This window comes from Homo sapiens, chromosome 3, assembly GCF_000001405.40.
Source record: "Homo sapiens chromosome 3, GRCh38.p14 Primary Assembly".
Taxonomy (NCBI): Eukaryota; Metazoa; Chordata; class Mammalia; order Primates; family Hominidae; genus Homo; species Homo sapiens.
The window spans coordinates 59,522,694-59,548,970 of NC_000003.12; the positions used below are offsets into that span (position 1 = coordinate 59,522,694).

Consider the following 26,277-nt stretch of genomic DNA (forward strand, 5'->3'; position numbering starts at 1 on the left):
AAGTGGATGTGGTTCAACTGGACTTGGTATGTCTCAAACCATTAGCCATCACTGTGGAGTATTTCTGTCCCTTGCTGGCCTTCTTGACAAGACTTTTTGTTTGTTTATTTGAGTGTTAAGTAACATTACTGGAATGTTTGACTAGTTATTCAGGTAGACAAATGAACAGTATTTCTGAGCGCTAAACAGGATGAAAAAAGTTTCCAAACACTGGAGAAAACTATTGAAAATTTCAAGGTTTTGGGCTTGAAAAAGTGTGATTAACTTCATGAAAACAGAAATCCTACAGGTAATACAATTTTCTAAGTACAATAGAATTTATCAATTAAAGTGGAACCAATAAGTAATGTTTAACCACATGCAAATTTCTTATAAGATCATTTAAGATAACTACTAAAGTAAGTAGGAGCTCCAAACTGAGATTACTTTTACAGAGTCAGAGAATTGCTAAGGAGGAAACATTGTGACTGAAGCCAAGGGACCTAAATTCACACAATTAATTATTCCAGTACTATCTTCATGTTACAGGAAAACAGTAATTCTGGACATATGCAAGTATTATTCATTAAAATAGAGAACTATGACTCAATATGTATAGAATATAAACACATTTTCTAGTGTTGAAAAATATTTATAGTCTACAAATGATGTTATATGGTATATATTGGTGGTGTTCTAAATGAAGAAAATTGGAATTTCTTTTTTAATTTTTTAAATTTTCTGAATATGTAATAGTTGTACAGATTTATGGGGTACATGTGATATTTTGATGCAAACACATGATGTGTACTGATCCAGTCAGGGCAATCAGAATACACATCACTCTAATCATCCATCATCAATCCAAGTTGGGAATGTTCCAAGTATACTTCTCCAGTGATTCTGAAATATACAACAAATTAATGTTAACTATAGTCATACTATTGTGCCATGACATACTGTTCTGACACAAAATATTTATGTGAAATATTGTACTCATATATGTAAAAAGCACATAGTTCCAAACACCATTTAATACAGACAAAAATCCTCAAAAGTTACAAGAATCCTGAAAATGTCCGATAGAGCTGATAGAAAAATATGGAAACCTCCCAGGACCAGAAGTAAACTAAAAGAAGTATCAATAGGAGAAATCAGAGAAGCCAGTGCCCGCTTTGGGTACTGGTTGATCACAAGGAACTCAAAACAGTGGATTTTCCAGTTTGCCCCCAGCAGCAGGACAGTCTGCGTGGCCTTTTTCTCTTGGGAGATTCTTGGGGAGAGCTGGTCCTGTGAAGGTGCTGGGATCACTTCTGATGCCTAATTCTTGGGAAACAGCAAAGTAGGAACAGTGAGTTCCAAACTTTCCCATGAGGGAGCTCATTTTCTTGTATAATGATGCCTAGGTGGGTCAGCTGGCCTTAGACCTGGACATTTCCGTCATGCTCACTGTAGAGGGGCTGGAAGAACACTGCTGGAGGCCATTCTGAAAGAAGGTTCTCTCCATCCTGTCTGAGATTCTGGGAGAGGATGGAGAAGCACGTGGACCTGGGACAGTTCTCCATGAAAGGATGAACCTGCTCTTGTACCTCAGACAGACCTGCAAAGCCACCCTACCTGTGCTGTCATGCTCAGCAGCTCACCTCCATGTTCTGGAATTCCAAGCAGGTACTCTGAACATCCTTCAGGTAATAGCAGAACCCAGAATGAAGAGAAGGAAAGCTGGCCTTGGAGAAAAGAAAATCTTGACATGACTTTTGTGCCTGCATGGTATCGATGGTATTGCTAGTTTTCATTTAATTACTGTTCACTGCAAGTCAACAATGTGTCAGGCACGGAGGACATAGCTAAGACTCTTACCCTGAGGGAGTCAGACAATGCACAGAGAAAAGCACAATCAAATGCACAAGTCCCCTCTTATCCTCCATTTCCCTTTCTGCAGCTTCACTTACCTGCAATCAATGGCAGTCCAAAAATACTGTGTTGAAAACTCCAGAAATAAACAATTTATAGGTTTTAAATTGTGTGCCATTCTGAGTAGTGTGATCAAATATTGTGCCATCCCACTCTGTCCTACCTGGAACATAAATCATACCTCTGTCCAGCATCTCCACACTGTCTATGCTACCTGCCTGTTGGTCACTTTGTACCATCTTGGTTATCAGATTGAATGTCCTGCTTTCACAGCACGTATGTTCAAGTAACCCTCATTTGACTTCATAATGGATCCAAAGCACAAGAGTACTGTGTCTAATTTATAGATTAAACGTTAGGTGTGTATGTATAGGAAAAGACATAGTGTGTATTGGGTATGGTACTGTCTGAGGTTTCAGGCATCTGCTTAGGGGTCTTGGAATGTATTCCCTGAGGAGCGGGGACAATTGTACCAGGCTTTGCACTGAGCTAAGTGCTGTGAAGGACAAAGGCGAGAAGTAGTGATAAAATGGGGAAAACTAATTACCAAGGATCATTAGAAATGGACTCTTTGAAGGGATTATATTTATGCAAAACCTGAGAGATGAAAGAAACCCAAGGGAGGCAGTTGTTCCAGGCAGAGGAAACAACATATACAAAGACCTAGAGGTGAGAAAAAGCTTGGCATGTTCTAGAAACTGATCACAGAACACAGTGGCTAGAGAGTGGAGAATGAGGGGTGGCTGTCATATGAGATAATGGAGAAGTAGGCAAAGTCTGGGTTGTGGAAGACCATATGGGTATTGCTGTATATTCAAGGTCATTGGGAAGCCACTGAAATGTTTTAGGCAGAGAAACACAATTTCATTGATAATTTTAAAAGCTTCCTCTAGCTGCTGTGTCAAGGTTAGATTGAAGTGAAAACTACAAAACATTGCTGAAATTTAAAAGAGATAAATAAGTGCAAAAACATATTGTGTTGATGGAGTGGAAGGATTAATAATTTTAAGATGACAATATTACCCAAAATATCTACAGACTCAATGCAAGTCCTATCAAAATGCCAAATTTTTTGCAGAAATTAAAGTGATACTAAAATTTATGTGATGCAAATTGAAGTGATGCAAAATTCATAGCCAAAACAATGTTGAAAAAGAAGAAAAAAGTTTGAGGACTCACACTTTCTGATTTCAAAAATTACAAAGCTACAGTTGTCAAAACAGTGTGGTACTGGCATACGGACAGGCTCATAGACACATACTCACATACACAAACATACACATACCACATACAGGTTGAGTATCAAAAATTCTAAATGCTCTAAAATCTGAAACTTTTTGAGTGCTGACATCACACTAAAAGACATACTCACTGGAGCATTTTGGATTTTCAGATTAGGGCTGCTCAACTGGTAAGTATAATGTAAATGTCCCAAAATCTGAACAAAATCTGAAACACTTCTGTTCCCAAGTATTTTGGATAAGGAATAAACCTCAGCATATATGACCAAGTACGTCAAAACCATCCAATGGGGGAAAATCATCTTTTCAACAAATGATGCTTGGAAAACTTGATATCCACATGCAAAATAGTGAAGTTTGATCCTTACCTTGCCATATAAAAAAGTTAAGAGAGAACAAAGACTTAAATGTAAGAGGTAAGACTATAAAACTCTTAGAAAAAAAAAATAGAAGAAAAGCTTCATGACGTTGGACTTTGCAATAGTTTTTTGGATATGACACTAAAACTACAGGCAACAAAAGAAAAATAGGTGAATTGGATTTCATCAAAGTGAAAAACTTTCGTGTATCCAATGGCACTATCAAGAGAGTGAAAAGATAACTACAGAATGGAGAAAATACGTGTAAATCATGTATCTGATAAGGTATTAATATTCCAAATATATTAAAAACTCATACAATTCAACAACAACAAAACAAAGCCAATTCAAAAAATGGGCAAAGGACTCGAATAAATATTTCTCAAAAGAAGATATGTAAGTGGCCAATAAGCACAGGAAGAGATGTTCAACATCACTATTCATTAGGAAAATCCAAATAGAAATAAAGTGAGATACCCCTTCATACTCATTAGAAAGCTATTAGATGGCTATTAGAAAACAAAGGAAAACAACAAAACCTGCTAGATAACAGGTGTTGGTGAGAAAGTGGAGACATTGGAGCCCTTGTGCATTACTGTTGGGAATGTAAAATGGTACAACTGTTGTGGAAAACAGGATGGCAATTTCTCAAAAAGTTAAATATAGATTACTATGTGATCCAGCAATTTCATTTCTAGGTATATACCTGAAGAAATAGGAAACAGGGACTCAAAAGATTCTTGTACACCAATGTTTATAGCAGCATTATTCACAATAGCCAAAAGTTGAAAACAACCCAAATGTCCACCAACAGATGACTAGATAAACAAATTGTGGTACATACATGCAGTGGAATAGTATCCAGCCTTAAAAAAGAAAGGAAACTCAGATACATGCCACAACATCTTGAGAACATTATGCTAAGTCAAATAAACTAGACACCAAAGGACAGATATGGTATGATCCCACTTATGTGCAGTACCTAGAACAGGCAAATTCATAGAGATAGAAAGTAGTAGCTGGGGGTATAGCTACTATTTGTTTAATGAGTACTAAGTTTCAGTTTGAGATGATGACAAAGTTCTGGAAATGAGTGGTTGTGATATACAACATTGTGAATGTATTTAATGACATTAAATTGTATGAATAGTAAATTTTTGTTATGTATATTCTACCAAATGGAAAGAAAAATAAGATTGAATTAGAAGAGGAAAAGATTACAAATGGGAGAAGCAGTAAGAAATACCCTTATGCAGGAGCTAAAGGAAGAGATGATGATATTTGCATTAGAGTGAGGACAGTTGAATGAAGAAATAGGTTTCTGTGGGAGGGGGTGGGTGTGATTTGTAGGGATGGAATATCACCCATAGAGGTTGTGTTTTATTTCCCCTTTAAGCTAAAATAAAAGTCCCTCTTACTGTAAGGTATTGTACTTTGGGAAAATTCTGTAACTTTCTTTTGGCCCAGGGAGTTCTCATGACAGTGTAGCTTCATTTCATGGGGCTAACTCTCACACCTACTTTGACTCACCATTTCCTTTGGCGTACATATTATAGAGATTTCTGGGAATTCATCATGTGTGCCTTTTCTTTAAAAATGTGTAAAGAAACGTTTTGATTTTTAATATCAGGAGGCAAGTCACCATGTGATTATTCGGATTACAATGGCTCAAGTACTTATAGACATTTTTCCAATTTAGATAAAAAGTTTATTTGGTGTTAAGTTTCCTTAATTTACTTTATTATAGTCATTTATATATTTAATTTATACTTTTATCCCTTGGACAGCCCTTATAGCCTTGGTTTACCCATCTGGTGCCAGGAAAATCAGTTAGTATCTAGCATTAGTATTAAGGGTCTCTGACTATATGGCCTTATTTGCAAACAAATTCTCCCAAGTTCTCAGCAAACATTTATTTTTGAGAAGGCAAGTTAGCAGGAAAGATAAGGATTTTTACGTAGTATTTGCATTGTCAATTTTCTGTTTAGAAGAGGTAGCATTATTTTGCATCATCAAAGAATGAAAAAACAGCTTCTATTTCTTATCAGCTCATCTCTCAGATTTTTGTAAAGAAAATTACATTTGAAAGCCCACTGCAAAGTTTCCAGCAAATGGTCACAATTTCCTAAAGTGATAGCTTTTCTCTCTATGCCAAGAGAAAAGTCAGAGTGGATGTTGTGGAGGTTCATTTTGGAAAGTGTACTGCTTTCAAAGCTTGTTCATTAAAGCACAGAGAAATACTGTAATGGCTCCTGTGCGCAGATTGGACCCCGCTTTATGAAGCACAACAGCTGTGTTGGTATTACAGCAGGCAGCAATGCAGTGCTTAGGCGTGTGATTAACTGAGCTGAGGATCATGGGCTGTGGAGGCAGCGTCTGCAGGGCCGAGAGGCTGAGCCTACTGGGTACCATAACTAGTGACCAACCTCAGAAAAGAGGGCCAGATGTGTTAGCAGGGACCCCAGTCCACAGATACTGGGTTTCACCATAAAAAATACAATCCCTTTCAAAGTCAGTGAAAAGTAAGATGGGGAGGAGACAAGGTCGTTTGAAAAAGATTTTATAGTCATTTTCTTTGTCACTTTTATAATAAAGCAATCTTCCTAACCTTTCTCGAGTTTATGGGGAAAATATTCTCCTACTCTTGTAAAAATAACAGTAGCAGTGGTAGTGAGCTCCCAATAAATGTTAACTCATGTGCCAAGAATTGTGATAAGGGTCAGTTATGGACTGAACTGTATTCCCTTAAGGTTGATACGTTGAAGCCTTAATGCCGAATGTGACTGTATTTGTAGATGAGACCTTTAAGGAGGTAATTAAGGCTAAATGATGTCCTAAGGATGGGACTCTAATCCAAAGGACTGGTATCCTTAGAAGGAGAGAAATAAATATCGGATGTCTCTGTCGTCTCTGTCTCTGTCTCTCTCTCTCTCTCTCTCTCTCCCTCCCTCCCCCTCCCTCCCTCCCTCCCTCCATGTACAAGGGTAGCTGTTTACAAGCCAGGAAGAGAGGCTTCATCAGACATCAACTCTGATGGCACCTCAATCATGGACTTCTGGCCACTAGAACTTTGAGAAAATAAATTTCTGTTGTTTCAGCCACCCAGTCAGTCTGCGGTATTTTGTTACAGCAGCCCAAGCAAATGAATGCAGGATCCTATAAAACTTGTCTAATCCTCATAGCAAACTTATGAGGCAGGTTTTTTTTTTGTTTTTTTTTGTTGTTTTTTTTTTTAAGATAAGGACCTTCAGATGCTCAGATAGGCTAGGTAAATTAATAAGCATGCAGTTCTTGCACCTGGATGGCTCCTACTCTGAAACATTGTGAATCACAGTTTTCACCAAAGAAAATAGAGACCTTATTTTCTTGCATTAAATGGCTTGTTTTCTGTCATGATGCTGGAGGTGGTGTTTTACCTTCCCTCTCTCACCATCACCCAGCAAGGCAGCCAGTACAGGGTAGGTCCTCATAACTTTATTGAATGCAAGATGTAGAGGCACTAAAAATAAAAGTGAATGTGGAGTGATTTAGATCATCAACCATTTAATTGTATTGATTTAATAATTATTTCCTTCTGCTTAAATCATTGCCAAGATAGAAAATTTGGCTGCATATCATGAGTAATTGACTAAATATATCCTCAGGAGAAAATATGATTCTTCAGCAATTCATTATGAAGAAAAAGGTACAAATAAAAGATAAAAGAGACAACCACTGCTGATGGTTTTAGGTAGGAAAGTGGCCATTAGTATATTCCTCAACTAAGAAAAGGAAACTCATCTATGTCGACAACATGTTCTGGGGTAGTTGTATTCACTTAACTCTAGAATTCAGCTGTAGAATTCAGAAATCCTTCGGTCCAAGTTATTAGGTATTTTTTACTTCCTGGTGACTGACAGTAGTGGATCCTAAAGCCTTGGAAATAAACCATTCTCCAGGATACATTGTTCTATTTCTTCCTTAAAGAGGGTTGGCCATTCCCTAAGGAGGAGGTAAAAGAGTCTATTCTATGCCTTTCTTCTCAGTTCTGGAAGAAATTTTTCTCAAGTCAAAAGCATATGTACATGCCTCTTGTTTTCCTTTGAAATACTGTCACCGAAGGAGATAAATTATTCTCATCTCCTTAGACGTTGGTAAAAGATGAGAGAGCTACACACATTAAAAAGAATTTTCAGTCTTTAAGACCAAATTCACTGAGGTCTCCCTGTTTCCCAGCACATGGTCCTATATTATCACATGATATATGTGTTAGTCTGTTTTCACACTGCTATAAGGAACAGCCTGAGACTGGGTAATTTATAAAGGAATGAATTTTAATTAATTCATAGTTCAGCATGGTTGGGGAGGCCTCAGGAAACTTACAACCATGGTAGAAGGCAAAGGGAATTAAGGCATCTTCTTTACAAGGTTGCAGGAAGGAGAAGTGGCAAGTGAAGGGGGAAATGCCCTTTATTAAACCATTAGCTCTCCTGAGAACTCACTCACTATTACTAGAACAACATGGGGGAAACTGCCTCCATGATTTAGTTACCTCCACCAGCCTCTCCCTTGACACATGGGAATTGTGGGGATTGTGGGAAGTACAATTCAAGATGAGATTTGGGTGGGGACACAAAGCCTAACCGTATCAATAGGTGACCAGTAAGAGTTGTTTAATGAAAAGAGGCACTCTAAAGTAATTTTTGGTCCTAGGTAAACTGGACTTCAGAAATCCTGATATATGACCACGCAAAATGAACAAACACGAATCATCTTTTAGATGTTGACTCTATCGCACTTAGGTGTTTTGTTTAAGTAACAACAAGCCTCTCCCACCTCCAGAGAGAGGCTATAGCCAGGAGACCTAAAGCATGAATGTTAAGCTATAAATTATCAAAGGAAGCATATTTACATATCTAATAAAACAACAGGAACCACCTTATAGAATCATAATGCAACATGAGTTTTTCAGAATTCATTTTTTAAGGGGAGAGAAATCTCTTTCCTCACTTTTTCTTCCAATTAAAAGTCTCTTAATCCTTTCTCTGCCTTCAAAGTAATGCTTGAGTTTTAGAATCCCAGAGCGAGCTGGAAGGGAGCCAAAAGGAAGCAGAATCCAACCCACTCATTTTACAAATGAGGAAAACCTGATTAACTGATTTGTCCAAGGTCACATATCTATTAATGGCATGCTCAGGACTGAAACCCAGATATTCTGATTCCCAGGAAATCCGAACTTTGCTTCCAGGCTTGTAAAGGTGTAATTGCCTCCATCATCTGAAATTGAGATATGCCTAATACTGCTGGGTTCAGTCTCTTCTCAAGATGGATGTGTAATTGTCTAAGCATCATCTGTTATTCTGCCAAAGATTCAACACAGTACTCAGTGGGAAACCAGTTCTAATTTAAGTCAGAGCAAACGATGTGTTTTTTTTTCTCTTGCAGGGCATGACAAGTTTCAGAAATAATGAGCTCTACTCACTGGACTTCTCTTTGGCTTTGTATTGTACATTAGAATCATTCTTACTAATATCCTCTAAGGAGCTGAAGGGTTACATGAGCTTTTAGAGCCATGTTTTATTATTAGGATCATTCATACCAGTTATGCATAAGCATATACCAATAGAAATAGGAATTTGTAGTATTGTGTGGTGTGTTTAACTGAACGTGGAGTGGTGTACTGAGGTTTGAGATCATATTAAAGTGCAAGCCTTATTTTTATGTAAACCCTTTCTGGCCTGAGGCACTTTTCTCATTACAACCCTCCCTGCTGCAATCTCCTACCATAAAGGGAGTTTTTGCTCATTGAAAAATATCAAAAAGTAGATAGTTTATTAATGTCAACCATTTGAGCAGCTGGTTGAAATGGATGGGTGGAAACAAACGCTCCTGCAAATTCTTCCATCCATGGAAAGAGGCACAGCCCCTTGTGTTATCTAAGCCCCACACTGCCACACAAATGCCACTACCCCTTCCTGAACACTTTCCCTTCTGTGTCTGCTGTGTGACCTCAATAATGTTTCTTGACCCTTTGGAGGTACAGACTCTATCCATCATCTGACAAAAGCCCGTGGACCTGTTCCAGCCCCAATGCACATGGTTAAACACACCCAATTTTGCTAATAATTTAAGGGGGTCTTAATGACCCTCTGGAGTCTTTCAGGGGCCTTAAGAAATCCTTGTTAATGTTCTTTCTTTTTCTTATAATCCAGAACTTGTAAGCTGTGGGGAAATCATCTTTGATTTCTTATTTGAGGTTTAAACCATGAACATTGGTCGACATCTGACAACAACCCACAGCAAATGAAATAAATTTCTCATCAAACATTGTTTCGATGCACACTGCATATATCATGCTAGACAACCTGGGAGTACCTGAGATACTCTTACACCGAAGCATACAGTTTAGGTGGGGACAAAGTGAAGCTAATATAAAATGGTTGATTGAGCACAAAATGGTAAGCCCCACTCTGCAGGGTTCAGAAGACAAAGTAATCTCACAGGGTCAGAGCAATCAAGAAAAGTCTTTGCAAAGGTGGGAGGAAATAATCACTTGAAGCATAAATAAGCCTTAGGTAGGTGGAGGAAAGATATAAGGATAGGGAAGATACTTTGAGCAAGGGAGCAAAGTATGAGTATCACTGTTGGAGAGAATATCAAATCAAATGAGCAAGAATGTGGACAGCAATGAGTGTATGTAGCAAATTTTTCCTATTAGTAAGCATCACCTGACAGATGTTCAAAGATGGTGGTTCTATAGGTCTGCTTCTGCTGAGGAGGCATGGTTATATAACCGATCACCCTAAACTGGCCCCAGTTTGGAATTACAAATATGTACGTCATTTATCGAATGATGTTATGTATTCTTAGCTAAAAGATATGTTCATTTGAACATTTTTTCTTCAATTCTTTTCAATTCAATGTTATTTTCTGGGTATCAGGAGACCCAATATGTCTTTAACTTCTGCTTCAATCTATCTTTTCTCTTTTTTATACTTTTTTCCCCGTGATTAATAACAAAAGTTAGACTTCTGTGTATTCGTATGTATACACCAGTGCATTTGCATATCCATATACATGCATGTATGTGCAAAAATATTTGTTGATAAATAGGACAGGAGTCTGAAGGTCTTATTCTAAAGTGTTGGCAGCAGTTGCTTCTGAGGACTAGGATTGGAAGATGCTAATGGCAAGAAGGGAACATTATTTTTAGTCAACATACTTCTGTATGGTTTGAACTCTGTATAATAAGCAGATATTGCTTTTGTAATTAAAGGAAAAGAGAAAAAAGGGAAGAAATTAAATTTGACATCCCTACAAGTAATATGAAGCCCTTTCATCCTTTTGAAGGTATGAAGAACAACAATTGTGCCTCCAGGGAAATTTATTTTATCAGAACTTGTATGATTTTTTAATCATGTAATGAAGCAGCTTGCCTTGGATTTCCAGTAGGCTTGCTTTGTTTACATATGCAGATCTCTGCTAATAATTGACGGTAACTGGAAGTGCTGTTTCTTAGACTGGCATCTCATCCCCACACTGGCATGCACATGTGCTGGTTGACATTAGTTTCCCTCACTTTCTGTACAACTAGGACTTCTGTAGCTGATGTGCTGGTTTTTCCGTAATCTCCCTTCTCCTCCATCCTGTGACCAGGATTGTGTTTCCCATACAGTGCCCTAGGGCCACAGGATGAGCTAAGAAACCATGACTTTTTTGTACCCGGCTGAGCTCCAACCTTCCTTGGGGTTCTAATTATTCTAACGTCGTACCCCAGAATTTGATGCAAGTTCTTGATTTGATATGAGCTAACTAGCTGCACAGAAACTGCCACTTGGTGTGTAGGGGGTGTAGCGTACCTACACACATAGACGGGAAGTACAAAAGGCTAATTCAAGTATTATGATCACAGACATTCATGGGAATAAAATATTTTATGTTATTAACATCATGGTGCAAAACAGCAAGTAAATTGCAAGTCCAGTCTTTTGATGACGGTGTAAAATCACACATTTAATGAGAAACAAAAATGGTGAGAGTACACACAAACACTTCAAGATGCTGCATGAAGAAGGCAGGGATAGAGATGGTTTTTATTTTATCAATATTAAATTGCTTCATGAAGTAAAGAAAAATATGGTGAGAAGAGACTAACCATATGCGTTTCAGGGTGAGTGTGATAACTGATAATAATGTAGTGGCAGCATGCAGAGTAGTCAAGAGCATGGCCTCTGGAGTTTCAAATTCTGACTCCTTCCCTTATGAGCTTTGTGACCTTGGTCAAGTTACTTAACCTCTCTGTGCTTGAGTTTCCATGTAGATAAAATGAAGTTAGTAGCAGTAACTATATTATGGAACTAAGAGGTTTAAAAGAGGTCATGTATACACAGCATTTAGAGTGGTGCCTGATATATAGAGGGTATAATAAGAAATAAAAGTTAGTAAATATAGGTAGCATATATTGAGTTCTTCCTGCTTGCCAGACACTGACCTGAGTGGGTTACAGGGTTCTAGTTTATTCTCTGGAGCCCTGTAAGAAGTCTTATGATTGTTCCCGTTTCATAGATGAGGACAATAAAACTCAGAGAGATGGAGCAGTGTGCCCAGGATGGCTGTAGAAGCAGGATTTAAATATGAGCAATCAGGTCCCAGAGCCCCTGCTTCCAACTATTATCATCTACCGAGACAGGAAGGAAGGAGTTGAGGAAATTTCACCCAAGCCAAGCATCTAGTCCATGGTTTAAATTATTGTAGGTTTTATGGGTGTGGGGTTTCCTTTTGGGGGTGATGAAAAAGTTCTGTAACTAGGTAGTGGTGATGGTTGCACAAAAATGTGAATGTACTTCATGCCACTGAATGGCACATTTGAAAATGCTTAAAATGGTAAATGTTATGTTATGTGTATTTTACCACAGTAATAAGAAATAATTGTAAGTACAAGGACAAGTAGTCCCTTCCCAAAGAATTATATGTTGACTGTTAATCTTTGTAGCCAACTGCTGCAACCAGGGTGCACCAAGATAACAGCCCATTTTCTTCTTGACGTTGGCCTCTCTTTCTGAAACAGGTATTCTCCTAGATTTATTTTTTAAAGTATCCAATGCAGATCCTGGGTGTGATTAAATCTCCCTGTGGCAAACACAGAGCAACTGTCCCTCCTATAAGTTGAGAGGTGTAATTGTATTTTCTTCCCGGATGATAAACTTCCTTGCATATTTTAAATGCTAAAGTGAGGAGCAGAAAAGCAGAGAGTCCAGGAGGGATTTTGTTTTTAGTGAGTAATAATTTTACAAGATTAAGGCAATGTGAAGTGAAATGAAATTAAGGAGAAATACTAAGAAATATAAACTAAGCATAATTTGTCTTTAATTTTGGTGTTTATTGAAGTCTTTGAAGAGCGCATTGACTAGTTGCTGGATTAACAAATTTTGTTTTTGGAATTATTCGTAGTTGCTTAGCACTGAAGCTTTAGAAAAATTTAATCCTTTAGTGAAAAGGGGCTAACAATCGACAGTATGCTGTGGTCATGTTGATTTAATTATCAAACAGAACAAAATTGTTGATTACTTAATGATTAATAGTAACAAAGAGATATTAAGGGCAGTCTTGGCTGGGGATTGAGTCTTTAAAAGCTCGTTTGTTTTGTTTTGTTTGAAAATGTTTAACCCAAAAACTTGGATAACAGGCTGAATCATGGAATCATGGAATTTACATCTACAATATGAATCACAACATTTTAAGAGAGAGATGTGTGCCCTGTTTCTTTATTTTGGCCATGAAGATGAGGGTGAAGGTATCTGTTTTATTTAAAGAACTGGTGTTATTCACAAATACCTTGAGATAGTTAAAAGAAATTCCATTTCATGATAAACTAATGCAAATGGAATGTTTAAAAATAGATTTGGATATATTATCTAAAGTGTGTGGTACTTTTACTGACAAAAGAAAAGGTCAAAACAATGAAACAGACTCTTGTTGCTACACATGCCTGGTCATGGAGCCTCAGGCTTCAGCTAACCCTCCAGGAAAGTGGATACCAGATCCTCACTCTCACCCTCCAAACTGTATTTTATTCCTTAATAACTTAACAGAGGAAACTAATGGGATGATGTTATCAGCTACTCCATTCTCTGGTTTCAAGGAACTGTTTGGTACCTGGGAGACATGATACTGCTTTTGTTGAATTTTAAAATGGTGGGTTGGCTGGAGATGTCAGGTCCCAAGGATTTCAGGTCATACCATCCTACCCTATAAAGATCAAGCCAAGAATATATAGATGTTCTCATTTTAAAGACTTGGTGTTATTTATAGCATTTCTTCTTATAACATTTGATTAGGTCAATTTGCTAATTTTAGAAATGGGGAATAGTGAAGCTAAGCATTTAACTTTTTTTCAGTGAAGGATTTGAAATAAGGTTCTTTAGAGACTTTTGTTGTTGCTTTTGTTATATTTAGCTTAGTAGACTTAGAAACATGAAAACCTTAATTTTGTATAATAAAGTTGATTTGTATCCTAAAAAAAGAAGTACCCTGGCACTGCCTTCATAAATTAAGCATCATAGTTTTTATAGCTTGTGAAAGAGAAAATGAGCTTGTGCAAAGGTGAGCTCCAGAGGACAATTTCTTGAGAATATCATGTGGCTTCCTCCCTCATGTCTCCTTTTCCTGAAGCTGCCATTAATTTCATAAGTGAAGAAGTGAAGTACATAGGGAAGTATGGAAAGGTTACAGGCCAGATTTTAATAATTGTTTTATTATATTTTCTAGTTTTGTGAGAGGAAGACATGATGGCAGGTCTAGCTGTCAAGCTGCTTGGATGGCCTTGGAGTCAGGTAAATGCCAAATGACCTTTCTTTACATTTACTGATGGGGAAACTGAGAATCCAGTCCTCCCAAGACTGGAGGATGTAGGCTGTAAAACAGTCCAGCTGAAGAGTGGTTACTATTTTATTTATTGTGAAAAACATACATGAGAAGCTGAGTTATTATTTTTACTTACTTGGTTTCATTCATTCCCAAGATGATAAATGTTCTGTTTATGGAATAAGATTTTATGCTTTTGGAGGTTTGAATCATTGACTCCTAAGTGTTGCAAGATGCATTGCCTCTCAAAATTTCCCTGATATTAGTGTGATTTGGATCTTAATCTGACAGTCTGGAATGGTTACATTGGTCGAAGATGCCAATCTCTGCTGGAAACATGGTACCATAAGCCCTAGTCTGTCATTAGTCATGCCTTGATGATATTAGGACTTGTGATTTCTATTCAAATAGTGTAAGATACATAGGCAGCAGAATTTTACTGCATCTTTTATCATAGATATTGGGAATGGTGTTCATTAAAGGTAAAATATGTCACATCTTTAGTCCTGCCTTCTGTCTTGGTAAAGGATATTTGGTTTTTAAAGATTCTCTCCTGATCCCAAAGCATTTTGTCAGTGTTAATATGGAATAAAAGGTTTCTTATTAAGGTAGGATGGAGAGACCTATTAGGCAAAAATCTTGTAAGATGAAAAAGAAGAGAGGGATATGTCTTATCCAAGAAAGCAGAACTATGTCCTAGGGCTAAACCTGGGCTGTCTTTTCCTGCTCTGGGTTTTTGTTACCATTACTTTGGCATAAGAGGTTAGGGCCTGGGTATAAAGCGATTGTTTAGTTTTCTTCAAGGGACTGCAATGGACGTTCAAAAACTTATTTCTCTGTGAGCTCTAGGTCCTTTATTTGTGGTCTCAGTGCCTTGGATATTTCTGTTGCTCTTTTGAGAAAAAGTTTTTCTATTAAAAAAGTGGTTAGTTGCCAAGGCTGGTGGATTGCTTGAGTCCAGGAGTTGTAGACCAGCCTGGGCAACATAGTGAGACTCTATCTCTTTTAGATTTTTTTAAATTAAAAAAAGTAATTAGTTTGACTCTCCCCTCAAACAATCACACAAGTGCTTTTCTTTGAGTTAGCCACTCCACCTCAGTATACAACACAAGTGTTTTATGCAACTTTCCCATTTTGTCACACAGGATATTAAGAAGGCTTGTACTTAAGGGCCAAGATTTAATCAAGTGATTTTTTAAAACACACTCACCAAAGATTTTTTTAAAATGTAACCTCCTCCTCCTCCTTCCCCTCCCTCCCTCCCTCCCTCCCTCCCTCCCTCTGTGTGTGTGTGTGTGTGTGTGTGCACGTGTGTGTGTGTGTGTGTGATTGCCTTGATCTGTGCTAAGCCATTTAGCAGTTTTACCATGATTACTTTAGCATCAAAATGTAAAGGCCAACAAAGTGAAAAAGGCAATAATTTCTTAGGTTTATCATGACAATTGTTTTTTGACTTATTGGTTTCCCTAAAGGCCTCCTTGGACTCTACTTCCCAACCTCTGGCAGGGTTCTGTGGGCCATAATTCGAGAATGGGTCTAGAATAATGCTTTGTTCTGGACAGCAATCCTTCATGAAGTTTTTTTTTTAACCTTCTTATTTTCTTTTATTATTAACTCTAAACTTAACTAAGTCATCAGCTGTCCTTTGACTCCCATCCTAAGTGCTTTATCTGCATGAAATATTTATCTCTAAGTGAATTGCTCAGCAGACATTCACACTGAAAAATAAGTTAAGACAGAGATTTTCTGAGGAGAAAAATATTAAAGCGCATTGATCCAAACCTTTAGTGACTGGGTAATACTACTGTGATCTAATCACAGTGGCAGAATGTTCCTCAAACGTCGAAACGAACAGCTCCATAATTTTCACACTGTGCTGTGTGACAGATGGCAAAAACCATTTTGATTTTCCCCAATATCCAAGGAGCAGCAAGCAGAGCCTGTGCCTCCCACTTTGCTCTCTGTCTTTGTCATCTCCAGTCGGCCTGACAGCACACCGATTTCTACCTCTGTGATCTGTTCTTTGGATGACGATATTTTCAATAACTATTTAGTATAAAAATAAAATGTGAGGGTCCCATCAAATAAACTAATTAAGGCTTAGAAAGTGTCAAACTCCAAAAGCCGGGAGGAACAGATGAGGCACTGAGTATGAGAGTCACACAGACCTGACAACTAATGTGTTACCACGGCAACAGGAGAATCAATATCCCTCAACTGGGCAGATAGTTGACAGTAATTTTTGCTGGGTCAGAGAATTGGGGAGAGTGAAAACCTCCTTCTGCTATGCAAATAATTGCTATCTCCTTTATAAGCAAAAAGCTTCTGAAGGATTTTGTGATCAAATTCTGACCAAGTCTAGTAGAAGCTGATACTCACGGTCCTGGAGAAGGCCCTCACCATGTAAAAGGGAAGCAATTGAGTCTGTATTTTCTGTGATGCATTCACTACCTTTTTTAAAATCAGGGGTAAAGACATGTGTTTCTTATGTTGTAAAATGAGTGCCTAATGTATGACTGAAAGCTGGCTCATTTGATCTTTTTCTCCTGTTTATGATTAACCGTAAGAATTTCTGTGTATGATCTTCAGGACTGTCTTGTCACATAGGAAATTAGTATCATCCTGGATGTGGTGGTCACATATACTTTGAACATGCAGTCATGGCTACCAGAGAGATTGGGTTAAACCTTGCTTTGTGCTTTGTGGAAGTTTGTCGTTTAGCAGAAAGGAAACCTCGATGTTAGCATCTGTTTTTCCAAACATGCTTCTCAGGCACAGCATATTCCAGAGCCGGTGGATATATAATAATACCTGATTCAGCAGAACAAGAGATTTAATATCAAACTCATTTAAAGAAAAATGATGCTTTCTGCAGTGCATAAAAGAATGGATGATAAATTTCAAAATAAAGAATAAAAATATTGTTATTCTCTATCAGGACTCCTTACTCTGAGAGTCCATATGTCCCTTTCTCCCTTCTTCCTTCTCTCTCTTTTCCTTTCTTTTGCTCTTCCTTCCTCTCTCTGTCTCTCTCCCTCCCTCTCCTTTCTTTTCTTTCCTTCCTTTTATTTCTTTCCGTCTTTCTTTCTTCCAACATAAACTTAATGAAACTGTTTTGAAACACTGACTAAAAGTCAATATACAACTTAGTTGAATAAAGTTCCATAATAGCTTTTTTGGTAATGGTTCTTGATGGTCCTCTCTTACTAAGTGCCATGATATGATATATTGAAATTAAAATATGGGCATGCAATTTTAACACAAGGGCATTAACAGAAATGTCATTCCTAACAAATGAGGCATTGGGAAATCTGCCCTATAACCAGAGAACCATGCTTATTTTTGCCTTTTGCTATAACTTATAAAAACAAACCTCATGATGTAAATGCCTGTGGGTTAGATTTCCAGTTGAGAGGTAGGCGACAGGCTTCAGTGGGGGAATGGGGAGAGGCAGTTTTTGTTTGTTTGTTTCAGACAAAGGATTCCTGGCCTGGGGCGGTCCAGCTGCAGCTGCTGTCAATATTGAGGCAATCAGACTATTTTTCTAACTAGATCAAAACAGAAAATTCTGCCTGCGATTCATTATATCAGAATGGAGGAGGAGGGAGAGGGTAAAGGGAGGAAGGAAGGGAGAGAGAGGAAGGAGGGACGAAGAAAGGAAAAGCATGATTGTTAATTCTTCTGAAAATTACTTGCAGGGTTGCCACTTTCAAATTAGAATAAACTCTATCTGGGTCTGTTTGCAAGATAGGAGCCTAAAGGAATGCGAAAATAGTGCAATGAGTCTCTGCTGTAGAAGTGAGAGGAGGTGGTGGGATCTGGGTTTTTTGAGAGAGAGAACTGCAAACCTCAAGTGTGACTGAATTCAAATCAGGCTTACAAGGCGTGCTTGGTTTCTTATTTGCTGATTACGTCGTGTTCTGTTTTTTCCTCCCTTGGTATTTTCATGATGGTATTGTTTTGAGAACAAGACTTTGGGGTCAACTAGTTGGCTGTTCCTGTTGGTATCTGGGTAAAAGTAATCCTGGCCAGCGTTGGTTTTTTGTTGTTGTTGTTTCTTTCTTTCTTTCTTTCTTTCTTTCTTTCTTTCTTTCTTTCTTTCTTTCTTTCTTTCTTTCTTTCTTTCTTTCTTTCTTTTCTTTCTTTCTTCCTTTTTTTTTTTTTCTCCTGTACTCTCATTCTAGCCCCCTTTGGTGCTTGGACAGGTTAGGATCTGAGCCTTCCCTGGGCCTGTGGCTCTCCCAGTCTATTGATACTGACTCATCGCTTGGGCTCCTCTATCTGGGTAACTTGAGTATATTGGGGGAGGGTGGTGGGGGTGAAGTCCTTTTTTTCTACAACCTGCCTTTCCCCACATGTTCACTTTTACCTTTTCAGTGGAGAACATCGGCACAATAGATGGGGAAAAAATAAGAAAAATAAATAAACCTGAGTTACTGAATAGAATGGCTCTTGGTATTTACTCGTGTTCAGGAAATATTTGCCGAGTGCCTTCTCCACGGCTGTGCCAGGCCCCTGGAGATGAACATATCGAGCTGGCAGGCACAGCCTGTACCCTCAAAGGTCATAGCCGTTGAATCCTTGAGAAGACACTGATCCTGGCATTTTGATATTTTGCTTAAATGTACACTTGGGATGTACCTTAAGTTATTGCTTATTTTATGGGATGTAGCTTAAGTTATTGCTTATTTTATTCTTTTTTAAGATGTTTGAGTGTTGTGTGTATGCAACAATCATGTAGAAAAATGTTAACTTATTGCATTGGAAATATGGCCTAAATTATCTGGTTTTATAACATATCCAATATGTTACATATACTACCCAGGAGAAGTATTATTAAGGTTAAGAATAGTAATTTCTAGGTTGTATGGGCATGGTCAAGTGGTCAGGTAGCTCACAAAATTACCAAACTCGGGCTCAGGGTAGCTCCTCCTCTTTGAGTTAGATTAGCATTTTGGGAATCATTGTGTATCTTTCTCAGGGTTAAGAGGATTGTCCTAAATCCGCATTCTCCAATATAGCAGCTAATGGCTACATGTGGTTGTTTAAATTTTAATTTAAATGAATGAAAATGTAATTGAATTTAAAATGTAGTTCTTCATTTGTACTAGCCAGATTTCAAGTGTTCAGGAGCCACCTATGGATAGTGACTACCATATTGAGCAGCATATAATATGGGACATTTCCATCATTCCAGAAAGTTCTATCAGACAGTGCTGTTCTAGGATACCTTCATTTTTTCAGCCAACCTTTCCTGGGCCTCTGCTATGTGCTAGGTATTGTCCTGGTGAAACTAAGACATAGTCCCTGCCTCTGTGGGTATTTGGCCCGGTGTAGAAGCAGATATTTATAGATAAGACAAGCAGAGGATGTGGTATCATCCATGCAGGACAACAGCGGGTTGCTGAGATATGCTGTAGGACAGATAAGCTGCTTAGATTGGGTGGGGAGGAAGGGCTCTTCTGAGGAGCTGACTTTGAGCTAAACTCTGAGGCATGAGGAGGAGCCAGGCCTGTGAAAGCCACAAAAATATCGTTTGGGGCACAGGGAACAGCAGAGGCAAAGCCATTGAAGTGGGAAAGAGCTGAGCTTTTTCATAGCCCCTCCTCAGGCACAGAACTCTGAGGACTGTGGAGGAGTGGTGGCAACTGAGAGACTGGCATTCCTTCACCCCAGTCACTGCCACACCACCCTGCCCAGGATGCTCTGCTTTCTTTGCAATTAGACTCTCTTCCAACTCGTGTTATAACATTTTCTCAGCTGTGACACTAGGCCTGTCCCCTGGCCTCAGAATGAAGCTAAGAGAAGCTGAAAAGAATACATTTAGCGTCTATGAAGGGTACTTATGTTTCAGGGACCTGGTACACTGTATCTGATTGTGGTTAACAGTGGGCTGTGGAGGCTTCTCGTGCTCATAATTGTGATTGTCTTTCTTTGCAACACTTCTTCCCATTCCAGGCCTCACTGAAGCCTCTCTAGGAAGCTGGGTGTCCATTCCAGAGCCATTTCCTGGTCTCTCAGCAGAGCTTTAAGAGCTCTGCTTGGCTGAATTCATCTCCCAGATTCAAGGCACTGAGGCCTTTGACTCTGGAAAGTGTTCACACCTCCTACAGGCTGTCCTCCCAGAATTCTCAGAAGCCTGCTCTGGAGAGCTCCTTCCCCTCTGGCAGGTGCAGCAGGCCATAGCTCACATTGGCACTGAACAATGGCCTTTGTGTAGATCTCCCTGTGATCTCCAGAAACCCTGATCCAGCTCTTAGGGAAGGGGAAGCAACAAGACTTAGCAAAATCCCTGCTGCATCCATCTCATACAGATAATTAATAACAGCAATCCTTGGAAAATGAGGCTTAAGCAATGAAATCCTTTTCTCTTTTTCAATGAGAGCGGTCTAATAACTGGGGCTTTGACTGTTGTTTCCTGAGGAAACCGTGCAGTGATGAAATTAATGATGTATTAAAACAGGTACATAAAAATGTCACAGTGTTGAAGACAGAGCAAACAGGAAGGTACTTCAGAAAAAGGTCCCCAGTTATCAGAAAAGTTATCTGAAAATGAAACACTAACCAAGCAAGAAAATACTCCCTGAGCATCCCGTGAAGATGAGTCTTTCTCACTGTTCTTTTCTGCATCCCACGTGCATAATGTAAATCTAACTAAAAAGCATGCAAAAGCAAAGAGTGTTTTTGCAAGTGATTGATGGATTGTATTGCCTTCTATGTTATATGTCTCTAACAGACAAATGTATCATTTGTATTTAGGTTTACTCTCTTGTTTATATCAAATATAATTTTCAATGGGAGAGAGTTAATCAAATAACCTTCTGAAATGGTGTTTTGTGATATGGAAAACAAATGTTATTTAAGGAGATGATTCTTTTCTTCTTAAAAGGATATCACATAACCACAAAATAATTCTCTCTGTGATTACACTGACAGCACTGTGGGTGACATTGCTGGGGGCTGGGGGTGGTCAATCTGATGAAACTCCAGTCATTTCACAAGCTGATGTTGGCTGACAGGTCTTCAGGCCAGAATTTACAATTCTACAAATATTTAAGGTGCTTCATTAGTAGAATACAGGGAAGACAGGTATAGAAAGGAACTATGTCATGGATGGGTTTTATTTTTCTAGTAGCTTTGTTGAAATGTGGAGAAGATGATAGATGGGAAAGCTAGTCAAGACAATTTGTTTGGATTTGGCATTCTTTATAAGGGAAGACTGTGTGTGTGTGTGTGTGTGTGTGTGTGTGCATGCACACACAGGCATGCGTGTGTAACAAAGGTGTTCATTACTTGAGAACCAAAGGGTTCAGCTACCTATAAACAGAGGCAACATGTCCCCAAGGGAAGTGAACTCTGCAGCCAGTTGGTTCGTCTATGTGAAACCAATTATTTTTCCCTTCAATTTGATTGATTTTTTTATTGGACTGGATTGTATCATATTTGCCTTAATAAACAGGAGCTCATAACAATGCATTTAAAATCTGTAGTGATATACTCACCACCTATATTTACTTTGTAAATATGTGAAAAAAATCTACAGTTATGAGATTAATGACACAGAAGAGTCTAGCAGGAGTATGTTTTTATTTTGAATAGAGCAGGAAATTTTATTTAAAGGTAATGTAAAATTAAAATGTATTGAGTGGAATCGTCTTCACCATGAGTCAACTTATTTATTGGGATGAAGATGGCTTCTCTGTGTTTCTTGAGGACATGTTTTCCTTTTGTGTATACTTGAGTATTTAGAGGAGACTTGGCCCATAAGGAAATATGAAAACATAATATTACCTTTGTTCAGTAGTTAGTAAAACCATCCGGGATTATTAATAATTTTATAGGTCCTATGACTTTTCATAAAAACATGAATGCTTCCTCTTTCACCACTCCAATCCCCAACCCTGGCAACTTTTTAGTTTTTAGTAATTGTCCTATAGAAATTTGAGAAGAAGTTGTATCTTCCTCTAAATATGTCCTTATGTGGAAATTGGGACAAGCCATTGTAGATGTAATTGATTAAATTGAGGCCATGCTTTAGTAGGGTGTGCCCAAATTCAATATGACTGGGTTCTTATGAGAAGAGAAAATTTAGACACACACACACATAAACACACACAGAGAATGCTATGTGAAGATGAAGGCAGAGATGAGGGTAAAGCTTCTACAAGCCACCAGCTTCTCTTCACAGTCCTCAGAGGAAACCAACCCTGCCAACATCTTGATCTCAGACTTGTAGCCTCCAGAACTGTGGGACAACAAATTTCTGCTTAAGCACCCAGTTTGTGGCACTTTGTTACCGCAGCCCTAGTAAACTAATACAGACTGCAAATGGAAAAACACAAAACAATTAAATCACCACTGCTTTTCACCATTTTCACTTGGTGGTGGTGTGTTACCAGGGTAGAAAATGAATACTTACCAACTAACCAGGTGCTGGCAGTATTTGACTATTTACCAATGTCACCATAGAAAGGCAGAGTTATTAAAGGATCTGCAATCACTGGGTAATTCAGCTCTTGACATTGATGGATGGAACTTGGCTTTTCCTCTCTGCCATAGCTGCTGACTGGATAAATGTTTTATTCATGAGGCCCAGGACAGGAAGGGATGCCAAAGGCTTAAGAATATTTTAAGAAACTCTGAGATGTCAGACAAGTCATCAGGAGGTGTTAAGCAAGGAAGCTGAGGTGCTACATCGACCCAGCTGGACAATAAACCCCATGCAAAGGCTGGAAGCAGCAACAGTGGTCTTGGGAAGCCATTCAATTTTCTTTTCTTTTTTGTATCTTATATGGATTCGCACCCATGGTCACAATTCAGAGAAGCAGGAGTTCTGACTGTGGTTTGAGGGTGTCCTTGTCTCACATAGAATCCAAGGTAATACCATTTAGAGTAGACTCATAGTCATTGAAGTCCTACCTACTCATGGATTGAGATTCCGAATCATTCTTCTGCATTGGCAACTGCCTCCGCTGAGGGTGTCATTGAAATGACAGCATGTAGCTTGAGCATCAAGTCTCATGAGGCTCATTAGCTACACATTTTCATTACCTATTAACAAAATGATATTTCAAATTATTTAGCACAACAGATTATTTTATGCTGTGAGGAGAAAGGGCAATTTAAGTGTAGACCGGTTGCCAATGTGACTCGTTTTTTCTGTATAAAAAGAAAAGTATTTTATACAATAGTGGGTTCTAATAAAAAATGTTTGCACTGACTCAGGCATCCGTAATGATGGGAATTCTAGGTATAGGTAATGAATTATAATGAAAATGCTCCTTGATTCTCTATTATGGCCAGAGGATTTTAATTTTTTATAATAATAAACTTTTAAAATTACTTGGAATCACATAAAAGAACCAAAAATAAAGTGTGGCTGGTACATAGTTGTCAATCTAAACCTCTTTTAATTGCCAAGGAAACATGCACCTAAGTCCAAATGAGTCTTTCCAAATTATATAACTCTGCTAAAAACATACTGGGTTAAAATGAAGAATTAAAATATAAAACTCATCAGTGGATGAAAAACAGGCAAGTACTAGGTATCCATTGTCCTTTATGTTTGGGGAGTTTCAGTGTTAAAGACCCTAAGAACTTTCCCTTGGGTCCTGGTTAGAAAAAAATAATCAAAGAGCAGAAACTGACAGTGACACCACTCTGAGACATGCTATCAAGATACATCAAAATATGCCACTATATTCTCCCCTTTCTATCTGTCAAAGCCATTGATTATTTTCAATAAAGAAAACCAGTGACAGTTGCTGGAATTGTAGAATTCAGCAAACGAACTAGGTGATGCCTGTCACTCTCCTCTAAATAGACAAGAAGAAATTTACTCACTGCATCAGAAGCATATTTTTGGAAGCATATTTAAATATGGCTTCATAAAGGGTAAAAATAAAAGACAGAAAAATGAAATCTTTATTATACCCCAAGTCCCTTTTCCTAAGCTCATTGGAGTTTTCCATGAAACTGCTTATTTTATGTCCCCCTCTCAAGATAAAATAAAACAAAAATAAATTTAAAAAGCAATTTTAAGCCCTTTCCTACTTCTTGGTTAGGTAAGACATACTTGGGTACCTTAGAGTTTTCATATAATCAGTGACTGCCATGGCCTCCTGTAAGTGCAGTTGCTGGTCACTTTGGTCACAGGAGTCATTAAAGGTTTGGGTTGTATGAGAACAATTGAGTAACTTGCTTATAATGTGATCATAAATTCGTTGGTCATCTGGTATCCCAAGAGGAACAGAATCCAAAAGAGGTTTATGGAAGCCATAAAGAATGATTAACACAGAGAAACTCTTGCCAGTAGCAGTAGTACCCCACTTTCAGGGGCAACAGGGGTATGGCCCAGAATCTGGGAGTAGTGACATGACACAGGTGTGCAGGCTGAAGGTTAAGGGCAGTGTGATACAAGTCCACATCCCACCCACCTGGCTTCCATTTGTTCAAAGCCTAGCTTTACAGGCCTTCCCTGTAATTCTTGAAGAGTTCCCCAGAATTCTCTCCAAAAATTCCTATTCTGCTTCTATCAGCCAGAGTCTAGTTTTTGTTTTATCTTATTTTTTTTTTCTTGCAACTAAGAAACCTGACTAATGAAATATGACTTCATTTTGCTTGCAAAACCTCAGAGGACTCACAATATGCTCAGGTTAGAGCCAAGCTGTTAACTAGAACCTACCATATTAATATAGGGTGGCACTTGGTTGTTTTCCTCTGTATTGAGTTCTGTCACCCCAATGCACTCAGTCAACACTGGAGAAAAATGAAAGAAGTTTGTTCACTATAATACAAAATTCCTAGTAATAACAGCAGCAGATAGGGCCAACATTTGAAGTCTTAGCTGTACCAGGCACTGTGCTACAAGCGTACATCAATTTTTAAATTTAATCACCCCAACAATTCTAAGCCAAAAATACTGTTGTTACTATCATACCATTTATGCAGAAACTGAGGCACAGAGAGGTTATGTAATTTGCTAAGTGGGATATAGCTTGGAATTCGTGATTCAGGTTTGAATAAAAGAGCTGTCTGACTCAGAACTTGTGATCCTAACCTTGCATATGCTTAATTGTTCTACTTCTGATTTTTTAAAAGCCATACGATTTCAAAATAGTCCTAACAAAACCTTAAGAGAAAATAAACCTGCAAGTTATTTTTACTGAATCATGCATAAGACAACTCCAGGAACAGGCCATAACTTCATAGGTTTAAGTATGAGTTTGAAAGGAGGCATATTGGCTTATCATTTTAATTCTTTTTATGATAAAAAGGAAGACAATGATCTTTGGAGGTGTGGGAGGACAGGATCAGGTAAACAGGGTATGATTTACAGTTTTTAAACACTTAGGTCTACAAATTATATTAGCTGTTGCCACCTAAAGTTATCTCTGCAGCCACCTAGAGCCATACTCTGAATATTAGTTTTTCTGAGATAAGTGCATTGGTTTCAAAAAAAAACAGACACTGGAGCTATTTGTTAGTACACTGTGCTTCCCTCCAACTTGCAAAACTCAGTGTCCCAAATCTACTGTTAGCCACATGCATGAGCAGCTGCATTTCAGAAGATATTTTTAATACATAAACAATAATTTTTCTACTTGAAATTCATAGTAATAAACCCTGCTTAAGAGTACGATTTAAAGCTCTTCAGAAAAAAAGATGCAAAGGATTAACAATGCTTACGTGGAGAATAAGTCTATTAAAACATACTGGTTAGCATGCTCTGATGAGCATTTTCAAAGAATTTCCTAATGTTTGTTTAGGACAAATGCTATTTAGTTTATTTATAAAATGTTAAACATGTTGTAAAATTAGAACATAGAACCCTTGAAGATTTTCCATCCTCAAGCTAACCAAAAACTTTTTCTTAAAGTGCCCTTAAAAATATTAAGAAACAAATCTCTTATGGAAATATCAAGAAAAGTTCCCTGGGGAAA

At 38.1% G+C, this 26,277-nt stretch overlaps 1 long non-coding RNA gene and 1 pseudogene across 1 annotated transcript in view; both read left to right on the top strand.

Annotated features, from left to right (window-relative positions):
* Positions 1 to 26,277, top strand: part of CFAP20DC-DT (CFAP20DC divergent transcript) — a 724,471-nt gene that overhangs the window by 435,854 nt on the left and 262,340 nt on the right. The window contains exon 6 of the long non-coding RNA XR_002959675.2: positions 14,240 to 14,304. This is a non-coding gene — a long non-coding RNA (CFAP20DC divergent transcript). The remainder of the gene's footprint in view (positions 1 to 14,239; positions 14,305 to 26,277) is intronic.
* Positions 13,170 to 13,722, top strand: SNRPB2P1 (SNRPB2 pseudogene 1; annotated as a pseudogene).